The sequence below is a fragment of the Homo sapiens genome, chromosome 13, assembly GCF_000001405.40.
Source record: "Homo sapiens chromosome 13, GRCh38.p14 Primary Assembly".
NCBI lineage: Eukaryota > Metazoa > Chordata > Mammalia > Primates > Hominidae > Homo > Homo sapiens.
Genome location: NC_000013.11, coordinates 30,661,720 through 30,684,462, shown reverse-complemented (window position 1 = coordinate 30,684,462; position 22,743 = coordinate 30,661,720). Strand labels below are relative to the sequence as shown.

The 22,743-nt window shown below is 43.9% G+C and overlaps 1 non-coding gene across 1 annotated transcript, besides 1 other annotated feature; it reads left to right on the top strand.

The window, feature by feature from the left end:
* Window positions 10,067-10,576: a silencer, noted in NCBI's record as "silent region_5236". NCBI's record gives its function as "represses an Ori minimal core promoter by ATAC-STARR-seq in GM12878 lymphoblastoid cells {active_cell/tissue: GM12878}" and the evidence as "EXISTENCE:reporter gene assay evidence [ECO:0000049][PMID:35858748]".
* Window positions 10,426-10,499, top strand: TRN-GTT2-4 (tRNA-Asn (anticodon GTT) 2-4). The gene has a single exon. It is a non-coding gene; the product is annotated as a tRNA-Asn (tRNA).

Sequence of the window (22,743 nt, the reverse complement as noted above, 5' to 3'; positions counted from 1 at the left end):
ATCCAATCTTTCTCTCCCTCTCTCTCTTTTTTTTTTAAAGACAGAGTCTCAGCCAGGTATGGTGGCTCACACCTGTAATCCCAGCACTTTGGGAGGCCGCGGCGGGCAGATCACGAGGTCAGGAGTTTGAGACCAGCCTGACCAACATGGTGAAACCCCGTCTCTACTAAAAATATAAAAATTAGCTGGGTGTGGTGGCACATGCCTGTAATCCCAGCTACTCGGGAGGCTGAGGCAGGAGACTCGCTTGAAGCTGGGAGGCGGAGCTTGCAGTGAGCAGAGATCATGCCACTGCACTCCAGCCTGGGCGACAGACTCCGTCTCAAAAAAAAAGAAGACAGAGTCTCACCCTGTTGCCTAGGCTGGAGTGCAGTGGCATGATCTCTGCTCACTGCAACCTCTGCCTCCCGGATTCAAGCGATTCTCATGCCTCAGCCTCCCAAGTAGCTGTGACTACAGGCACACACCAACACGCCTGGCTAATTTTTGTATTTTTAGTAGAGACGGGGTTGCATTATGTTAGCCAGGCTGGTCTCAAACTCCTGGCCTCAAGTGATCTGCCCACCTTGGCCTCCCAAAGTACTGGGATTACAGGCGTGAGCCACCGTGCCCAGCTTCATCCAATCTTTTTCTTGTCTCCAGGACCGCTCATCTTCATCCCCCCTTTGCCTCACTCAAATTAAACCCTAAATCCTCTGTGGTTTCTGTCAAATCTTGCATTACTTAACCATTACCTCTGTTTTATAATTTAATTATAGAGGCCCCAACCAAGAGAGACAAACATTCTGAGAACTTGTGATTTCCCCAAATGAGAAGAGCCTTAGAGCAGATGACATTTCCCATAAAATGAAAACCCACACTAGAACAAGCAGCCCACTAAGATGTCCATGGCCAGCGTCAGGCTGGCTTGGCTCACCAGCCTAAGGAACTTGCTCCTGTTAACAGTAAGCAATGCTCAGGACAAACCATGGCCCCTCATGGACTCTTGCCAAGAGTTGAAACCTTGAAGGTTAAATCCTATCATATTACAATCCACTAGGAGCAGTAGGTTCTGTCCCAGTTGTTCCTGACCCGGGCTGGGGCTGTCCTTCTAGGGCAGTGGCTCTCCTATTTTTGGTCACAGGACTCCTTGACAACTCTTAAAAAGAAGTACTGAGGACCCCAAGAGCTTTTACTAATGTGGGGCACACTGATCAATACTTACTGTATTAGAAATTAAAACTGAGACCGGGCGTGGTGGTTCACGCCTGTAATCCCAGCACTTTGGGAGGCCGAGGTGGGCAGATCACGAGGTCAGGAGATCGAGACCATCCTGGCTAACATGGTGAAACACCGTCTCTACTAAAAATACAAAAAATTAGCCGGGCGCGGTGGCGGGTGCCTGTAGTCCCAGCTACTCGGGAGGCTGAGGCAGGAGAATGGCGCGAACCAGGGAGGCGGAGCTTGCAGTGAGCTGAGATCGCACCACTGCACTCCAACCTGGGCGACAGAGCGAGACTCCGTCTCAAAAAAAAAAAAAAAAAAAAAGAGATTAAAACTGAGAACTTTAAAAAATATGTCTGTGTATGTATATTTCATTTTTTAATTATAATAATAAACCTATGACTGATAAACTCAAAAACATTTCTAGGAAAAATAACTTTATTTTCTAAAACAAAAATATTGTGAGGAGGATAGCATTGTTTTTTCATTTTTGCAAATCTCTTTCACGTCTGGTTTGATTGAAAAAACTAGGTTCTCATGTTTGCTTCTGCATTCAGTTAGGTTCATTATCACACACTCTGTCACCTGGAAAATGCCACTGTTCACGTGTGAGAAAGTGAGAGTGAAAAAAGACAGATAACATATTAGTATTATTATGACATTAATTTTAACCTTGAAGATCCCCTCAAAGGTCTCAGGGACAATCAGGGGTCCCTGGACCATGTTTTCAGAACAGCTACTTTAAAGAAAGTTTGGAAACATAAGGGCCCTTTCTGATTGTCCCATTTACGAGCAGGCAGAGGTGCCCAGGTGTCAGAATGACCTATTCAGCCCTAGATGGTTCTACACAGGAAAGAACTGCCCAGCCCCAAACAACAGGGTGCCCAGAGAGGAGGCTAGATTAGTTCCTGCGGTAGGTGATCTGGACTTTTGCATATTTGCCCAGCATAACTTTGTAAGAGCTTAATAAACTTTTTTACATTTGTTAAATGAAAATGGTGGAACCAAATTGCAGACGAGATGGCTCACCTAATAATGAATCCAAATCAGATAGCTTTCATCGTGCAGCATTTTAACTACCACAGATTGTGTAACAGAAATTATTGCATGTCCCAGGCAATGCCTAAGGAACTGCTGTTTGTAACACAAACAGTCTGGCAGCAGTTAATCACATGGCTTTCCTCATTTTCTGTTTTAAACTTCTGCTGGACCTATGACCAGTTATCTGTGTGAGATGGTAAGCCTTCGTGTTACTCACTACCCCATAGGAAGGAGCAGATCTGATGGGGTTTCCTGATTAGGGTACCAAAGGAACAGGCAGCACTCTGTATACCTTAGTGGACAATGTCTGAGATAAGCTGTGATAGGCTAGCATCCCTGCAATTTGGTTTTTAAAACCCTATAGTAAATCATAAATCTGACTCGGTGTGGAATCCGTGGAATTAACAGGGATGTCGGGATCTGATTCTAGCCTGGAAGCTCCTGCTTTCTGAGGGCCACACTGGAGGTGCCCTCAGAATTCAGAAGGGTAGATCCTCCCACCCAGCCTCCCTCACCAGCTCCCTGGAGGTAACCAGTAGCTTTTCTCCTGGCTGCCTTTTGATAGTGTTTGTCATCAATCAACTTTATTAGTTGTTTGCTTTTTTTGCATCCTGATTCACCTCCTCAAAACCTCGCCATTATCAAGTCTCTTTGTTGTTCAAAATGTTCAGTGCATCCTGTCGGCACATTGTATAAATATGCCATAGTTGTTTGTACATCATCCTTTGATGACTATCTAGGCCATGTAAAATTTTCTGCAATTATGAGCACCGTTCCTAATGCAGTTTCCAGCCTGGTATTCAAGAGCCTCCATGCTCTGTCACCTATTAGGTTTCTTTACATCAGGCTCCACCCTTTGTAATCCTCTGCTTCAGCTGTGCTCCTGTGTCTGTGCCCACCCATCCACACCTCTGTTCCTTCTCCTTGACAACACTAAAGGATCCTCTCACTTGTGGTCCCTGCTACTGGGGATGCTGAGGCAGGAGGATCTCTTGAGCCCAGGAGTTTGAAGCTGCAGTGAGCTATGATGGCACCACTGTACTCCAGCCTGGGTAAAAAAGCAAGACCCTGACTCTAAAAAAATAAAAATAAAAAAAAAAAAGGATCCTCTCCAGTGTCAGCTCAAGACCTGCTTACTCCATGGCTCTGTACTTACCAGTCCTGTGTGAGAGCGGCCCTCTCACTACACCCTGACTGCGTGTTAGTATTACCTTTCTTTCTCCTTTGCCATTTGGGGAAAGAAATTTTTTATTTCATTTAATTTTGATTTTTGTTGCTAGTGACACTAATGATTGTTCCTGACTCAAATTTGTAAAACGTTTACCATTGGTGCCATGCAGTGGCACTTACAGCCTTGAAACGTTTTTGTGTATATCCTGTTTCTGCAAGTGGATTAATAAAGTAGGCCGAGTGGGGTGGCTCAGGCCTGTAATCCCAGCATTTTGGGAGGCTGAGGTGGAAGGATCGCTTGAGGTCAGGAGTTTGAGACTAGCCTGGCCAACATGGCGAATCCCTGACTCCACTAAATATACAAAAATTAACGGGGTGTGGTGGCCTGCACCTGTAACCCCAGCTAGTCAGGAGGCTGAGGCAGGAGAATCGCTTGAGCCCGGGAGGTGGAGGTTGCAGTGAGCTGAGATTGTGCCACTGCACTCCAACCTGGGCGACAGAGTGAGACTCTGTCTCAAAAAATAAAATTAAATAAAATAAGTAAGTAAAAATTTTAAAATTAAAAATAATACAGTGACCTGCAGTCAGGAATGGCCTCTCGGAGAGTCTTAAATGGAAGGGAGATCCCTGAAGCATCTAGCCCAATTCAGTCAATATCTGCTGGCTGTCATTTAACACAAAATGTATTAAGTATTTGAAAGTATATTTTTTAAAATTTAAAAAGTCTTAATATTCTCCTGTAGATTGAGTTATCCCACCCAAATGAAAACAACTCATAAAAACGAAGAAAAAAAATCAGTGCAAAGAAATTTTTAAAAATATTTTAAAAGGGTAGAAGTTATCTCTAATCTCAGGTACTCCAATTCTTTTTAAATGAAAGCATCTTCATCACTGATGATTCACATCTTGTAAAATTCCCCACAGAAGTGTGCATGGTCCATAGACACCCTTTTCTCAGGTGAGTGAAAGAGTTGAGAAGAGAGACCAGCGTGACAGTTCCACTGTGTTTGGCAAAGCCCCCCGCCGGTGTCCCTACCCACACACAGGCACTCCTCTACCCCTAGACAGAGATCTGGCCAAGCATAACCACCTACCTCCCTCTATCTGTAATTTAGGGAAACTGCTGCTGCCTCTCAACCCTGGCCCCGCAAAAGACTGCTTGCAGCAAATGCTTGAGAACATACTGGAAAAGGAATAAAAATCACCTCCCAGAGATAACCACTAATAATATTTCATAGAACTTTCCAAATACTGCACATGTGCACACACACATCCCATATTGGGGCTCACACCGCATATACAACGTGAAACAAAACTGGAATATAATAATAGTATCTGCCACCTAGGGATGCTGAACTTAAATGAGGTGATGCGTACAAAGTGTTCTAACAGCACCAGCACACAGAAAGATGTATGCAACTACGAATTGTCAGATTATACAGTTCCCCACAGTTCTCCATTCTCCATCTTACCTTTGAACTTTACATTTTGTCATGATCCTATGTTTTTAAATATCCCTTGAAAATATTGTTTTTGATGTCTATATAAGTAATATACTCTATTTTAAAAATATATCACTTTTTTTTTTTTAAGAGACAGAGTCTTGCTTTCTCACTCAGGCTGGAGCGGAGTGGCACAATCATAGCTCACTGCAGCCTTAAATTCCTGGGCTCAAGCAATCCCCCCGCTTCAGCTTCCGGAATAGCTGGGACTACAGGCGTACAGCACCACGCCCAGCTAATTTTTTCTTTTTCTTTTTTTTTTTTTTTTGAGACAGGGTCTCACCCAGGCTGGAGTGCAGTGGCATGATATCAGCTCAATGCAACCTCCGAATCCCGGGTTCAAGTGATTCTCCTACCTCAGTCTGCCGAGTAGCTGGGACTACAGGAACGCACCCCACCCTGGCTAATTTTTGTATTTTTTGTAGAGATGGTGTTACACCATGTTGGCCAGGCTAGTTTCAAACTCCTCACCTCAGGTGATCTGCTCACCTCAGCCTCCCAAAGTGCTGGGATTACAGGCATGAGTTACCATGCCCCACCTAATTTTAAAAAATATGTTGTAGAGACTGGGTCTCGTTATGTTGCCCAGACAGGTTTCAAACTCCTGGCCTCAAGAGATCCTCCTGCCTCAGCCTCCCAAAGTGCTGGGATTACAGGCATGAGCCACCAGCTTAAATATGCCACAATTTATTTATCATTTTTGCCTGTTGCTGGACATTCAGGTTGTTTCTTATTTATAACTATTATAAATAATACTGTGCTGCTGCATTCAAAATTTTGATCACATCCCTGGTTATTTTCTTAGGATGGATTTCTAATATAGAATTTCTAAAATGAGAGGGTATATACATTGTTTAATATGTATATTACCACACTGCTCTCCAATTTTATTCTCATCAGTCCTGTGTGAGAGCAGCCCTCTCACTACACCGTGACTGTGTTTTAGTATTACCTTTCTTTCTCTTTTGCGATTTGGGGAAAGAAATTTTTATTTCATTTAATTTTGATTTTTATTACTAGTGAGACTAAACTTTTATCATATTGGTCATGTGCATTTTTTCTTTGACAAAAATTGTATATATTAATTGTATATGGTATATAATGTGATGTTTTGATGTATACACACACACACACACACACACACACACACACACGTCAAAATGATTAAATCAAACTGTTTAACATATCCAAACATCATTTTTTTGGTGAGAACATTTTTGGTGAGCAATTTTTAAGTACACAATACAGTATTAACTACAGTCACCACGCTGTACAATAGATCCCCAGAACTTACACCTGTCTACCTGAAACTTTGTACCTTTTGACCAACTTCTGCCCATCCCCTCCCCTCCACCCCCACCCCTGCTACTTCCCAGAGTCCCTGGCAACTACCATTCTATTCTCTGCTTGACATTTTTTTTTAATTTGACTTTTTTAGATTCCACACCTAAGTGAGACTATGCAGCATTTGTCTTTCTATGCCTGGCTTATTTCATTTAGTATGTTCTCTAGGCTCATCCATGTTGTTGCAAATGACAGGATTTTCTTCTTTTTTAAGGCTGAATACTACTCCATTGTGTATATGTATCACATGTCCTTTATCCTTTCATCTGCTGATGGGTTGATTCCATATCTTGGCTGTTGTAACTAATGCTGCAATAAACATGGGAGTGCAGACACCTCTTTGGGGTACTGATTTCATTTCCTTTAGATATATACCCAGGGATGGGATTGCTGGATTATATGATAGTTCTATTTTAATATTTTTGAGAACTCCATACTGCTTTCCACAATGGCTGTACCATGTATATATATTTTTTTCTTTGGGGGAATTTTCTGTTCCTGTCCCCATTCTTATTTGTTTTATGTTGTCTTTAATTGAATTGTAAAAAGATTTTGTAAATATCAATTGATAAGTGCTCCTTATGTATTAGGAATTTAGATTTTCTATCACATTTTATTTTGTCCAGTTTACTTCATGGTCCTGGTTTTCATTTCCTCATTGATTCAGTGCATAGTCCCTGCATGCCTGCTATGTGCCAGGCCCTGCTGCAGTGTTGGGGTTACAGCACAGAGCAAAGAGACCAAAACCTCCATCCTCAGCGAACTTACATTTTAGTGGGAGCATGTACACGAGAGTGTAATTTTACAAACAGAAACACCCAGTTCCTGGAATGCCTGTTTTGTAGTTTGATAAGTACCTGTGATTAATTAAATGTTACTGCCCTAGTAATGCTGTTTTCCTTTCAGAAAACCATTGCACCCATGTGAATATGGAAGAAGAAAGACCCCTGAGCTTGGGCTAATGGAGAAAATTAGGTAATATTGTCAAATAAGTATGACTGAGAAGACATCCTTAAGACTTTCAGATGGGATTTAAGGAATCGAGAGCATGCTTAAAGGTTATTTCCTTTTTTTGCCTTCCATCTAGTCCTACAGGAGCCTCTAAAACCTTATAACCACTTGTTCATCCCACAGTCTGGACATGAAGTCTGGAGAAATGAAGTATAAAGGTGGGCTTGATGAGGACAGAGAAGCTTGTGGTCCGATAAACAGAGGGGACTGTCCCAGAAATGGCTTTATGGAATATCTGATACAACAAAGCTAACTTCACATAAGATTCCTTTCCCTCAATCAAGGTATAGAAGAGCCACCAAGACCTTCACCGGGAGCAAAACTCCCTCTACAGCCATGAGTGTGCACATGCGACTCATGGACCAAAGCCTTAGCACTTGGAAATGACTCCAGGGAAAGGCACAAACAGGATCTTGAATTGACTGAGACTGTGTTGACAATAGCAAAATAATAGGGAATCAAAATAGAAATTTTGTGGAGTTACAGAAAAATAAAGGTCTATTTCTTTCTTTTTTTTTCTTTTTTTTTTTTTTGAGACAGTCTTGCTCCATCGCCCAGGCTAAAGTACAGTGGTGCGATCTAGGCTCACTGCAAGCTTCGCCTCCCGGGTTCATGCCATTCTCCTGCCTCAGCCTCCCGAGTAGCTGGGACTACAGGCGCCCGCCACCACGCCCGGCTAATTTTTTGTATTTTTTAGTAGAGACGGGGTTTCACCGTGTTAGCCGGGATGGTCTTGATCTCCTGACCTCATGATCCGCCCTCCTCGGCCTCCCAAAGTGGTGGGATTACGCCACCGTGCCCGGCCTATTTCTTATGTATTTGAAAGATTTTGTTGTTGTTTTTTAAAAAAGGAATCACAAAAAGAGATCATCACCTAAACACTTAAGAAATTCCAGCAATTCTTAAGAAGAAAATGGAAATGCACCCAAAATTCCATTAAAATAGCATAATTTTAAGTTAACTTCTAAAACTGCAATTTGGACGGCATTATCTCTTCCAATATTTCCAAGGTGGAGACCATCAGTTCCTTCTTCATGGATTGGCTGCTCACAAGCACCACATGCCTAAATATCCCTCAAGGGCTAAAATAAAGATAACTAGCTCCAAAAGCTGCCCAGCACACAAGCAAGGACCTTGTGAAAGCAGGATCTCCAGATAGTCCTACTCAAAGATCCACCTTCTTCTCCTCTCCTTGCATGGCACAGGCCCCACTCTGCAAGCCCCCTGGGCCCTTTCCCTCTATCAGTCGCAGCTTCCTCCTTGCTGAAGCAGAAATGGCTCTTGCTGGGAGGAAGTGAGTAAACGAAGGGCCATAGAATTCAGATTGGTGGTGTCTGGAAAAGATGCCCAACACCACTAATCGTTAGAGAAATGCAGAGCAAAACCACAATGAGATGATACTTCATACCCATTAGGATGCCCATTATTTAAAAAAAAAATAGATGAGGAGAAATAGGGACTCTTGTACACTGTTGGTGCGAATGTAAAATGGTACAGCCAATAGCAAACCATGTGATCCAGCTACTCCATCTCTGGGTATATTCCCAAAAGAATTGAAAGCAGGGAATCAGTTATTTGTAGACCCATGTTCATAGCTGCAGGTGGAAGCAACCCTAATGTTCACGGAGAGATGAATGGAAAAGCAAAATGCGATACCTGCATACAGTGCAGCTTATTCAGCCTTATCCAGGAAGGAAATCCTGACACAGGCTACAACGTGGATGGACCTTGAAGACATATGGTAAGTGAAATAAGCCAGCCACAGGCAAACACCGTATGACTCCATTTACATGAGGTCTCTAAGAGTAGTCAAATTCAAAGGGACAGAAAGTAGAATGGTGATTGTTCCGACTAGAGGAGGGGAATCGTGAGTTACCGTGTAATGGGTAGGGAGCTTCTGTTTCGGAAGATGAAAAGGTTCTGGAAATGGATGGCGGTGATAGTTGCATAACAATGTGAATGTACTTAGTGCCACTGAACAGTGCGCCTAAAAAAATTGGCCGGGCACGGTGGCTCACGCCTGTAATGTCATCCCAGCACTTTGGGAGGCGGAGGCGGGCGGATCACGAGGTCAGGAGTACCAGACCAGCCTGGCCAGCATGGCGAAACCCCGCCTCTACTAAAAATACAAAAGTTAGCTGGGCGTGGTGGCAGGCGCCTGTATTCCCAGCTACTCGGGAGGCTGAGGCAGGAATCGCTTGAACCCGGGAGGCGGAGGTTGCAGTGAGCCGAGATCGCGCCATTGCACTCCAGCAACAGGGCAAGACTCCATCTCAAAAAAAAAAAAAAAAAAAAAAAAAAAAAATTCAGAAGTCAGGGAAAGGGAGAAGCCTTCAATGGCCATTTCAAACTGAAAGGCTATCTTAATTGCCAGTCCCTCTATAAGGCTTTTTTGATGTCCCCTAAACTATGCAATCTCAACAGAGGCCATATGCCTCAAAATGGGGTGCAAATTGGTTCTTAGAAGGTGGCAAAAATCATATTCTTTTTATGTACGAAGCACAGATATACATACAGTCTACATTGATACACAGCCTATCTATGTTCGTTGCATTTTACGGGGTGAGAGGTGATGAGATGAAAAACTGTCTAAGGAGAAGGGGCAATAGCGGCAACCCAGAAAAAGGGTTAGGTCCCTTAAGTTTGGGACCTAAGCGCACGTGACTCTCCATCCTTTAAACCTGTACAGCACGTGGTTCTTCCCTCCAAGCGTGTCGTATTCTCTCCGTGCGACCTATTCCCCTTGGCAGGTTCTCCCCTGGGTCCCTGGTTACTGGTGGCGCGCCCGGCCGGCACGGTCCCCGCCGCAGAGCACGCATGGCGCGCAGCCATTGCTGAGAGGATCTTTCCTACCCCGAGTCCGGGCCGACTGCGGACCACTGGCCGCTGCCGCCACGAGGGGCGCGCTTCGTCCCCAGAGAAGCCCGGAGTCACGCGGCCTCGCCCGCCCCCTCCCGCGCGCCGGGGCACAGCCTCTCCCCCCGCGGCGGCCGCTGGGCACCTCGGCCGCTTCCGCTGCCTCCTCGGCGCGCCCCGCGACTTCTCAGCCCGTGCCTGGGGTGGCAACGCCTGGGGTGGCGACGCCCAGGGTGGCTAGAGCGGCTGCCGGCGCCGCGGAAATCTGTACACACCGCAGCGCGGCCTGAGTAACTGGGTCTCTGTGGCGCAATCGGTTAGCGCGTTCGGCTGTTAACCGAAAGGTTGGTGGTTCGAGCCCACCCAGGGACGGTCAGTGCTTCTTTTCCCGAGACAACATTTACCCGATGGTTCATTTTAATAATGAGATTTTTAATCGAATAGGAGCATGATGCTACAACGTTTCTAGGACATGGACAGACAATATCCTCTTAATGTGTGGTGCCTAGTGGCTGGGCCCAAGGGAGAGACTGTGTCTGCACTGGAAGCCATGGTTTGGCAATTCTATTCCTACTACTTATCCAAGGGAAACTTGCACGTGTGCTTCAAGACACCTTCCCAACAATGCTCACAAACGGCAGTGGTAATAGCAAAACAGCAACTCAATTGCCCATTGACTGGTGAATTTATAAATTCCATTGGTGTTTCTCAGAAAAATCTGGCACCACCAAAAAGCAAATGTAGTTATTTAAGATTGTCTTCTTTGCTTCCAAAAGCATGAGCAGCCTTCCAGATGAAAACGTGTAGAGGAGTCATTATAAGCATATGGAAGCTTACCATCTTAAGAAACTATTTATTCAGTTAAGTTCTGTTACAGCTTTTGGACAACGGACTTGAATCTAGGGAAAAATGTTAATGTTTACCTTAGATTGCTGACAGAATTAACCCTGAAATTAAACTCCAGCAGAAATTGTGCGGGTTCCTGTTACAAGTTCTTGAATAACATATTTTCAACTCTGGTCTAACAGAGGACACATATTTTTCAAGCAGAATATTCACATAAGACTTTAAAGATAGAAAAACACATGATAATATGATAACATGATGATATAATTTATTTCTACCAAGATTCAGGTCCTATGGTAGGTGCTTTATCTCTGGGATCTACTTACCTCCAACAGAACTTAGAAGCCTGGAAGAAGGAGTAGTTAATAGAGTCACTAGGCTATCTTTAAAGGAATGCCTTGGCAAATGTTTGCTGATAGTTATCAATCAAATAATTGTCGATAACACAATACCCTCTGTTGTTTAGTTAGTAGCCCTGGAGAAGGAGACACAACGTCGTACTTACGGTGGAATTCCAGGCAACAGAACAAGTAGCTCTCAAAAATTTTCTTAGAGGCCGGGCGCAGTGGCTCACACCTGTAATCCCAGCACTTTGGGAGGCCAAGGTGGGCAGATCATGGGGTCAGGAGTTCAAGACCAGCCTGGCTAACATAGTGAAATCCTGCCTTTATTAAAAATATAAAAATTAACTAGGCATGATGGTGCACACCTGTAGTCCCAGCTACTCAGGAGGCTGAGGCAGGAGAATCACTTGAACCTGAGAGGTGGAGGTTGCAGTAAGCTGAGATCGTGCCACTGCACTCCAGCCTGGGTGACAGAGCAAGGCTCCTTCTCAGAAAAAAAAAAAAAAAAAAAAATGTTCTTAGGTAGGAATCTTTCCGATGCCCATCAAATTCCAAACGTCCTGTCTACACTTCTGGGTAGCTTATAGTAGAAACCACAAAATGAGGGGAAATTAGATCATAAGATAATTTATATACTGTTCAAACCTAGTCTTACATTTCAAGATGCAGGGCATATATTTGCTATCACTACAATTACAGGGACTTAGAAAACATGCCCTTGGAAAACATGCCCTTCCACTTTGAAGCTGAATATATTACCCTAGGCGAGAGCAGAGATCATTTTCTGTTATCAATGATCATTTTTAGGCTCCAAGGGATTTCCTTCAAGATACACTTCAAATTTTTTGTTGTTGTTGTTGTTTTCAGATGGAGTCTTGCACTGTTGCCCAGGCTGGAGTGCAGTGGCACAGTCTCCGCCCACTGCAAGCTCCGCCTCCCGGGTTCATGCCATTCTCCTGCCTCAGCTCCCTGAGTAGCTGGGACTACGGGCGCCCGCCACCACGCCCCGCTAATTTTTTGTACTTTTTTTTTAGTAGAGACGGGGTTTCACCATGTTAGCCAGGATGGTCTCGATCTCCTGACCTCGTGATCCGCCCGCCTTGGCCTCCCAAAGTGCTGGGATTTCAGGCGTGAGCCACCGCTCCCGGCCTCAAATTCTTGAGCTTAGCAAAAGGGCTTCTATAGTCCATACCCTAGTCTCCTACCATGTTCCTTCATGAAAGCTTCACACAGTTACATGCAGTTACCAAGGGTTCCCTGAGTTACCCATGCAGACTTACACGCCCCACCTAGATCCTCTCCCTGCTCTGCCCTTCTCCACCTCCACCCCACTTAGCTGGGAGACATCCGCTGAGGCATCACCTTCTCAGGGAACCTCCCCTGATGCTGCTTCGATCTAATATAGACACCCCTTCTCCCAGCAGTCACCACAACCCCCGGAAACAGTGAGTTGCTTGTCACCTCCACTGAGATATGAACTCCTTGGGAGTAGGGACCAGTTCTTCATTCCCAGTGCTTGCCCCTCTAGCACAGACCTGTCCCCTAGCACATGTTCAGTGCAGAGGCACTCTCTGCCTTCTCAGGGTATGGTTCACAGATGGACAACCAGATAAAAATGCATCTGATGGAGTGTCAGCAAGTCAGCCAAAGAAAAATGTTCCCAGGCCACGAAGTAAGTGGCCAACATAGACTGGGGCTGTGAGCCTTCATTGAGGATTTGAAACAACCCTGAGAGATGTGGGCAGGCAGGTGAGAGGCATTTAAGGCCAAGGAAAATTCCAGACAAAACGAGAGCGAGGGTAAGAAATGAACATAACCAGTACATAGGACAAGTGTACTTCAAGAAGGTGCAGGGGAAATGTTCTTAGCTCCTGGAAGGTCCTTGAATACCTAGGATGTGGCTAACTTTACCCCGTAAGGGAAGGGAGTAACTTATTAGAGATTTCTGTTTCAGGGTAGAATGAAATCTATTTTAGGTGATTAGTGTGGCAGCAATGTAGGGGAAATAGTAGATCAGAGACTAGTTAGGAGGAAATTATATTTCAAACGAGGCACAACGAGGTTCTGGGTTCAAATAGGCCTGGAGAAGGCAGCATGGGTGCAATTCAAGGGAAAATTGGGCAAGTGTTGGGGACTGCAGCAGTGGGGAAGTGTCTATGGTGATGCCTACATTTAGAACCTGGCTGATGCTACTAATAGGAATTCAAAATCTGAAAGGGTCTTAAAGAAACCTAGGAATAAATATTACAAATTGTCCAAACTCTTAGCTTACTTTACATGTGGCTGATTCCCCACCATGGAGTTGCTCTGGAACCTAGAACCTAATTTCAGAAACAATCTTTGGCTTTGGGTTTTTTGGGGTTTTTTTGTTTTTTTTTTGTTTGTTTGTTTTTGCATAAGAAAGCATCTTTCATTGGATTTTGTTTTTCAGTTAAATTTCATTTTAGGTTTAAGTTAAACTTCATTTATTGAAGTCAAACTTCCCAAGAGACTACCTTATGGATACATGGAGCCCTGTGAAAATCCAAATGACAGCCTAAAGACCCTCTCCCTAAAATATCCATATTTAGAGATGAGATTTTGTCCAGTGTCCAAGAGAGTCACAGGCCCTCTAAAACAGAGTTCTTGGCCCCCAGGTTTTGAAGACCTGGCTTTTACTTTATTTATTGGATTTACATTCTAACTACTGATAAAGGCCACAAAGCATGTCAAATCCGAAGTGTTTAGGTACAGAAAAATTACTAAACTGGAGACTTTAAGGTAACACAAAAATAAAAAACCAGAATAGTTTAATACTATTGACAAGTCACAAAGAGAAACAAGTTTGATTTTTTTTGGCTTAGTAATTAAGTAGGTCTATAAAATTAATAATAAAGGACTTGAGACAAAAAAAAAAAAAAAAAGCTGCCTTGAGGTTTTAACACTTAATGCTTTATTGTTGCAATCTGGAATGACCAGCTGGGAGGGGCTTTAATATATTGATCCTTTCAGGGTCATCACTTCTGCGGAGATTTACTCCATCAGCAGATACCAATTTGCATTTTTTCCCTTGTGAGTTACTTTAATGACACCCAGCAAATTGCGATATTTTAGTTACCTCTCTTAGAAATGGAGCCATTTTTCACCATGCTTTTTTAGTAAAAACAAAACAACAAAATTATTTTCTGTCAAAGATAAGAAACTAGTTATTCCCAAACAGGTATATCAAATGCACACTTCAAAATAAGGAGATTCTGAATTACCTTAGCAATAAACTTGAGTACATTATTGTATGTGTGAATATGAACATAATGATCATTTATACTTCATTGAATGATATATTCACTTATACTTGAGTATAGGTCTGATCATTGGAATTCATTGTAATAAATATCACATAGGGCCGAGCATGATGGCTCACACCTATAATCCCAGCACTTTGGGAGGCCGAGGCGGGCGGATTGCCTGAGCTCAGAAATTCAAGACCAGCCTGAGCAACACGGTGAAACCCCATCTCTACTAAAATACAAAAAATTAGCCGGGCGTGGTGGCATGCACCTGTAGTCCCAGCTACTAGGGAGGCTGAGGCAGAAGAATTGCTTGAGCCCAAGAGGCAGAGGCTGCAATGAGCCAAGATCGCGCCACTGCACTCCAGCCTGGGCGACAAAGCGAGACTCCGGCTCTGAATAAATAAAAAAATAACACATACGTGAAAATCTGCCATGGATAAGAGCCAATATACAACTGAAGTTTAAAATATAGAATTTCTCTATTAATTACCAAGCACAGGGATTCTTTACACCACAAGCGCCACAGCCAATGGGACACCAGTTTACAACCGCAAACATTTTGCTATCCTGCTAAACAGGGCTGGTTTATATTGCCTTAAGGCCGAGGGGAGCATTCACTCTGAGGTGAGTTGTGGAGATACTTGAACCTCCTCAGCATATTTAGATAATATCAGCCTCCCAGCCCAGTGAAAAGGCTTGTAAGAAAGAGAAAGCTGGCAAGAAGGGTACTTTACCAAGCTTTTACGTACCTGCACTAACTAAACAGGAAATGCATGTTCGTTTTCGGATTTGAAGTATTTCATAGGGTTCCTTTTCTCCCTATAAGCTCTGGCTTCTGTGTTAATCTACTGATTATTTTGAACTTCTCCAATACTAGATTTATCGTCACTGCAGTGCTTTGCTATCCTGCAAATATTAGTAAGTGCCTTTTCATGGATGTGCCGTGCTTAGAAGCATCCTGAGGCGCCTTTCAGCCACCTTTGCTTCTTCCATGGTTCCTTGAGGGAACACTGGCTGGGGAATTAGGGATGTGAACCTACTGGTGTTTTTGAAAAGCTGTCAAAATAGCAAAATTCCAACAAATCGAGTGTAATAATTTAATTGGCTTTTACTAGCGATACATGAGTCGGGCAGCATCCCATCTATAAATAGAAGGGTACTTCAATGAGCTGAGCAGAGGAGATAGGTTTTACAGGCAGAAATAGACCAAAGAAAGCAGAAACCAAGAATGAAAGCAGATTGGTCATTTCAAAGTTTCTTTCCTTGTAGGATTAAAGCAGAAGAGCCTCATCATGCTGGCTCAGGTTGACCGGGCCTCTTCTAATTGGTTGCTGTGAATCTTTTGCTTTTTTTGAAAAACCGACCTGTTTCAAAGTTCAGTTTGAGTACACAGCACCTAGGACAAGTGAAGCCATTCAGGTTTGGTCTGTTCTTTGGGCCTAGGGCAGGAGCTTAGGCCAAAACAATGGTCTCTTTAAATTTTACTCAATACAGCTAAAAGGGCCGGAGAAACAGTCACAAATATGTTCACTGAGCAGGCCTGTTCAGAGCCCACGAACCATACCTAGGTGACTCTTTAAGTGTGGCAGGGGTGCCCAAACAGGCTTTGCCCCTGAAAACAGCTCAGAATTTAGTCATTAGTTTAATGTCACTTTGGGATGCTTTCTTTAATCCACCAGATTTTTTCCGCCTCTTCTACCATGAACTCCCAAAGCATCCTCTTCCTCCAATGCCATAAGTCATGTCTTTTGGCCCTACCGCCTCTGACTACAGTCTTTGGGACTACAGCCGTTGACTCTAAGCTTGAAGAGGCTGTTCCATTTTGTGTTCTTTTCATCTATAGTATCCAGCAAAACTCTCTAATCAATTGTATCTTTCACTTTTCTTACTCTTTTCCTGACTTACACAGTGCATGATCGTGAAATGGTAGGTGGATGAGAGACTGGCTAAAACTTCATAGACCTTCCTCCTGGTCTTTTTTCTTCTGAAAAATTGGCATTAAATCTTTGTAATTTACACTTTTAATGTGGCGTTCAATAATGTTTCACTGAAAACTTTTCCCTGATAATTTCAATGTACTGTGGGAATTAAATGTAATAACAAATAATATGTGTTGGCCGGGTGTGGCCGGGTGTAGCGGCTCACACCTGTAATCCCAGCACTTTGAGACGCCAAGGTGGGCAGATTGCTTGAGCCCAGGAGTTCGAGACCAGCCTTGGCAACACAGTGAATTTCGGTATTTAACAAAAATACAAAAATTAGCCAGTTTCATAACCTGGTCTCAAAATAAACAAATCAGTAGAATATTTTTTAATTAAAAAATGTTATTAAATGTAGTATGAAAGATATGTGAATGGCGTATTCTAAATGGTTAAAGAATAGTGAAGGTTGTTCAATAAGTATTTGAACAATAAGTTTACTGTTTGGGGAAAAAAATAGTACAAAATAGAAACTTCAGTGTTACACATCAAAATACATTACAAATAATCAAAGATTCATATACCAAAAGAGAAAGCAAAGGAAAAAAAAAAAAGAAACGTAGTTTCATTAGAAGATATATATATTCTTTTGGTGGAAACAATCTTGCTAAAACATGATGCCAGAAGGAAAAGAATGTAAAATAATGTTAAACTTCTACATGTCGAAACATTAAAAATGATGATCAAGCATAAACCAAAATTGCCAAATGACAGAGAAGATTTAATATCGTTACACCTAGAGCTGATATAAATGAGATCCCAATTCAACGACTGGAAGTCTGAAGGGAGCCCACAGAGCTTCTCACACTTCTTGTTCAGACACACCTTGCCCCCAGTCTCTTTCTCCAAAAGATTCCTTGCCTTGTCTTTTAAACTGCCCAGGAGGCCAATCCCAAGAGAGATACAACAATTAGAACTCAGCCTCCCTCGGCTGGGTGTGGTGGCTCACGCCCATAATCCCAGCACTTTGAGAGGCAGGAGAATCCCAAAAACCCTCTCCCCAGGAGACCCCTTCATAAGTTGTACTCTTTTCTTTTTTGTTGTTGTTGTTTTTGAGACAGGGTCTCACTCTGTTGCCCAGGTTGGAGTGCAGTGGCACGATCTCAGCTCACTGCAACCTCTGCTTCCCAGGTTCAAGTGATTCTCTTGCCTCAGCCTCTCAAGTAGCTGGGACTACAGGCACACGCCACCATGCCCAGTTGATTTTTGTATTTTTAGTAGAGATGGGGTTTTGCCATGTTGGTCAGACTGGTCTCAAACTCCTGGCTTCAAGCAATCCTCCCGTCTCGGCCTCCCAAAGTGCTGGGACTACAGGCATGAGCCACTGCACCCAGCCTAAGCTGCACTCTTGATCGCTGTCACCCTGTGAAGACTGAGTCTCCCAGGACACTGAAGCCTAGACCTAACCTCGCCCCCTGACCCTCCCACGGTGCCTTTTGGAATGTGTGGTCTGTCTTTAATCCCACTGCCCCAGTTTTTTTCTGCCAACAGTCCCTTCCCTGCTGTCGTGCTAAATGGAACCTGAATATTCGCTGAATGTCCCTTTACAGCCCTGGCCAGTGGTGGCTGTCTTATCTCCCGCATTCCACATACTTTTGGGCCTGGAGATGAGAGAGGTTCTTCCTTGTTGCCATTTCAGCCACTCCCTCCCCTTCCCACTCAACCCTCCAGTGACTCTGAAACACTTTGGACTGAGCCCCTGCCCCTGCTCCTTTGGCTGTCATCTGCCGTTTTCATGGCGTTCTGCCTGTCCTTGAGGATTTTTGCTCCGGCTCACTGTATATTTCTTTCTGCTAGGGCCACTGCTGCCATTTAGATGACTTTGCCTCACACAGAGACAATCCATGTGCTATCCCAGCCTCTTGGTGCCTCTTTCTCCTCATTTTTCATGAATTCTTGCCAACTCTGGCCCTGCAGTTTCCTTGTCATACTCAGACTTTGTCATCACCTGTAACCTTGCTATCTCCAGAAGCTTAATTTCAAGCACACTACTTTCTAGCCAGCTTACTTCCTCCACAAGTGCCTCTCTGCCATTCTTTGAACCTTGCTCTGACCCACTGAGCTCTGCCACCACTCAGCAGACAGCCACTTCCTGTGTTCCTTACTTATCCATCCCTACAATCATTACCCTTGCAGGAAGCCTTATTCCTTTTCTCCTCTATCTCCTTGTCCCATCTGCCTGACAATTCCTCTACGTTGGCTGAAATTAACTTCACACTTAGTCTCTCTGTCCTGCACCTGAGCAGTTAAATACAACTGGAGAAAAATAAACCACCATCTTGGCTGGTCGCCATTAAATTGATGACCATAAACTTCCCACGGGCTCTCCGCACAGCTTAGCAAGCCCACTGCATGTCCCTATTCAATTCGCTCTCCATTCTGAGACCAATATTTCACACCTGTCTTCCTCCATGTTCAACTCCTTCTCCCCTCACACCCTCAGCTGATGATCTATTTATTTCCCCAAGAAAATAATCAGAAGAGACCGTTCTCATTCTTTTATCAGCAAATCTCTTAGCATCTGAGCCTAAGTACTTTGTCTTTCCTATTAATAAAATAATTTTTCTAGCTCTTAGGGTCACACCGCCTCCTCTTAGACACTGGAATCCCATCCCTGGAGAAGTTTGCCCCCGCAAGCGCCCCTTCTCTCACCTACAACATCCATGTGTCAGCCTCTCCCATCTTCAGAACAGTAACAAAAACCTTGACCTCACATTGCCCTACGAGGCACCAGAAAATGTTTCAAGAGTGAGTCCATAGCTCCACTTTCTCACCATCCCTTCTCTTGAGCCCACTCACACTTGTTCATGTGAAACTGTTCATGTGGAGTTAGCAGAGCTAACTTCCCTATTGCCAGAGCCAGTGGCCAATTACTCTATTACTCTTTTTCAGCAGCATCTGACAGATAATCATCCCTTCCTTTTAAAAAAAAGAAAAGCATTCTTCCTTGTATTTTCAGGGCACCACACTCCTATTGAATGAAGCTAGGCAGGCAACCATGTGACTAAAGGAAGAACATTCCAGGAAGAGCAAAAGTCAGGAGGAGCAAGTGTGCTTGGCCTTTGCCTTGGTCTGCTTGGGCTGCTATCACAAAATATCTTAGACTGGATAATTTATAAATGTTAGAAATTTAGTCTGGGCATGGTGGCTCACGCCTATAATCCAAGCACTTTGGGAGGCCAAGGCAGGCAGATCACTTGAGGTCAGGAGTTTGAGACCAGCCTGGCCAACATGGCAAAACCCTGTCTCTACAAAAAAATACAAAAATTAGTCGGGCATGGTGTCATACACCTATAGTCCCAACCACTTGGGAGGCTTAGGCACCAGAATTGCTTGAACCAGGAAGTGGAGGTTGCAGTGAGCCGAGATGGTGCGACTGCACTCCAGCCTGGATGACGGAGCAAGACTCTGTCTTGAAAAAAATATATATATATTGCTCACAGTTCTATAAACCAGGAAGTCCAAGATCAAGGCACCATTTTTGTTCTTCAGAGCTGTTTTAAGTCCCTAAATGACCCCATCCTATAACATGATCCACACATTCCTAATTCCCAAACGGCTATCTCCAGGGTGTCCCTCTCCGCTGAGCTCCAGTGTTGCAGATCTATCTTCCTATTAAATCATCTCCACTCGAAAGTCTAATAGGAATCTCACACTTAACACACTCCTAATGGGATTATCTTATCCCCTTTAAATTCTTTCCTTCCCAAATCTGACCCATCTCAGGAAATGGCACAATTGCTCAGTCAATAAAACCTGGAGTTCATTTTGACTCCTCTTCTACCTCACAGCCAATGCACATATCGTGTTGGCTCTACTTTTGAAATCCAACAGTAATCCAACTACTCTTGAACACCTCCAGTTACCACCCTAAACTCCAAGGAGATTGTAATAGACTAGGACTCCTATTCAGACCATCTGTAGACAGTCTCCCCACTTCAGTGATCCTTTTAAAACCCAGATCAGATCATGTTACCCTCTTGCCTGAAACTTTCCTGAGGTTATCTATTATTCTCAGCTTAAACAAAGTCCTCACTATGGCCTACAAAGCCATATGAGATCTGGTGTCTGCTAGCCTCTTTACTCATGTCCTAACTCTCCTTCACTGATCACTCTGCTCAACCACACTGGCCTCTTGCTTATCCTCAGTCATGCTGCTGTGGTCTCAATGTTTGTGTCCCCCCAAAATTAGTGAAGTCTAAATCCCCAATCCAACAGTACTAAGAGATGGGGCCACTGGAGAGACGGTTGAGGGCTCTGTGCCCCTCTTATGCCATGTGAGGACAGTGAGAGAACCAGCCATGAAGCAGAGCAGCTTTCACCAGAATGTGCTGATACCTTGATCTTGGACTTCCCAGCTTCTAGAACTATAAGCAATACACTTCTATTATTTATACATTTTACCCAGTCTAAGGTATTTTGTTATAGCAGCCCAAACAGACCAGACACATGCCTAGCACTCACTCTTCATGACTTTTGTTCTCCTGGAACGCTCTTCCTGCAATCACATGGCGAGCTCCCTAACTTTATTGAAGCCTCTTCTCAAACATCACCCACCTCCAAGAAACCTTCCAAGTCTACCTGGTCTAAAATACTTCTCCCTCTCATCCACTCCTCTTCTCCATAGCATTTAGTGCCATCTGACATAAGAATCAGTCCTCGGCCGGGCGCGGTGGCTCACGCCTGTAATCCCAGCACTTTGAGAGGCTGAGGTGGGTGGATTGCCTGAGGTCAGGAGTTCGAGGCTAGCCTGGCCAACATGGTGAAACCCCGTCTGTACTAAAAATACAAAAATTAGCCGGGCATGGTGGTGCAAGCCTGTAATCCCAGCTATTCGGGAGGCTGAGGCAGGAGAATCGCTTGAACCCGGGAGGTGGAGGCTGAACCCGGGAGGCGGAGGTTGCAGTGAGCCGAGATCATGCCATTGCACTCCAGCCTAGGCTACAAGAGTGAAACTCCATCTCCAAAAAAAAAAAGAATCAGTCCTCATTACTCACAGATTCCGTATTTGTGAATTCATTTACTTGCTAAAATTAATTTGTAACCCTAAAAATCAATGCTTTCAGTGCTTCTTGTGGTTATTCGTGGACATGCATGCACAGAACAGAGAAAAATTTGAGTCACAGGACGTGCACATTTCCAGCTGAGGTCAAACAAGTCAATACTCCACCTTCCTCTTTCAGTTCACACTGTAAACAAGTGTATTTTTGGGGGACTAGTGTCTTTGTTATTGTTCCTTTTTTTTTTTTTTTGAGACGCAGTCTCGCTCTGTCGCCCAGGCTGGAGTGCAGTGGCGCAATCTCGGCTCACTTCAAGCTCCGCCTCCCAGGTTCACACCATTCTCTTGCCTCAGCCTCCCGAGTAGCTGGGACTACAGGCGCCTGCCACCTCGCCCGGCTAATTCTTTGTATTTTTAGTAGAGACGGGGTTTCACCGTGTTAGCCAGGATGGTCTTGATCTCCTGACCTCGTGATCCGCCCGCCTCGGCCTCCCTAAGTGATGGGATTACAGGCGTGAGCCACCTTGCCCAGCCTATTGTTGCATTTTTTTGTGCTTTTTGTTGATTTCACTGTTTAAAACGTCCTCAAGTGCAGTGCTGAAGTGCCGTCTAGTGTTCCTAAGCACAGAAAGCTATGATGTGCCTTATGGAGAACACCATGTGTCAGATAAGCTTCGTTCAGGCTGAGTTACAGTGCTGTTGGCCATGTTAATGTAAAGAATCAACCATATAGATCAAATAACATGTCTTTAAACAGAAACAGAAAAGGTTATATAGTGATTGTTTGACAAAAATCTCATGACCACAGGCTAGCAGGAACCTATTTCCCCTAGGAACAGTATTTCAGTTTATACTAATTCAGTGTTCAAGGCAACTTTATTGACCATAACTACTACAAATGACATGAATCAACTGCATGTATCTCCTATTACTACCTAACATTATATATTGATCTCCATGTTTGGAAGGCAAACTCAAAAGGAGCAAGGATTTCCTTCTAGTGTGCTGCCTTATCTCAGGCTGATAACAGTGCTTGGTCCTTAGCAGTAATCTAGAAATATTTGTTGAAAAGATAATTAGTACAAGCAAAGGATAAGCAATTCTTAAACCCACCCCCGCCTCCACCAAAAAAAAAACAAAACAACAACTCAAGTGGACAATAGTTATAGAAAATGTTCA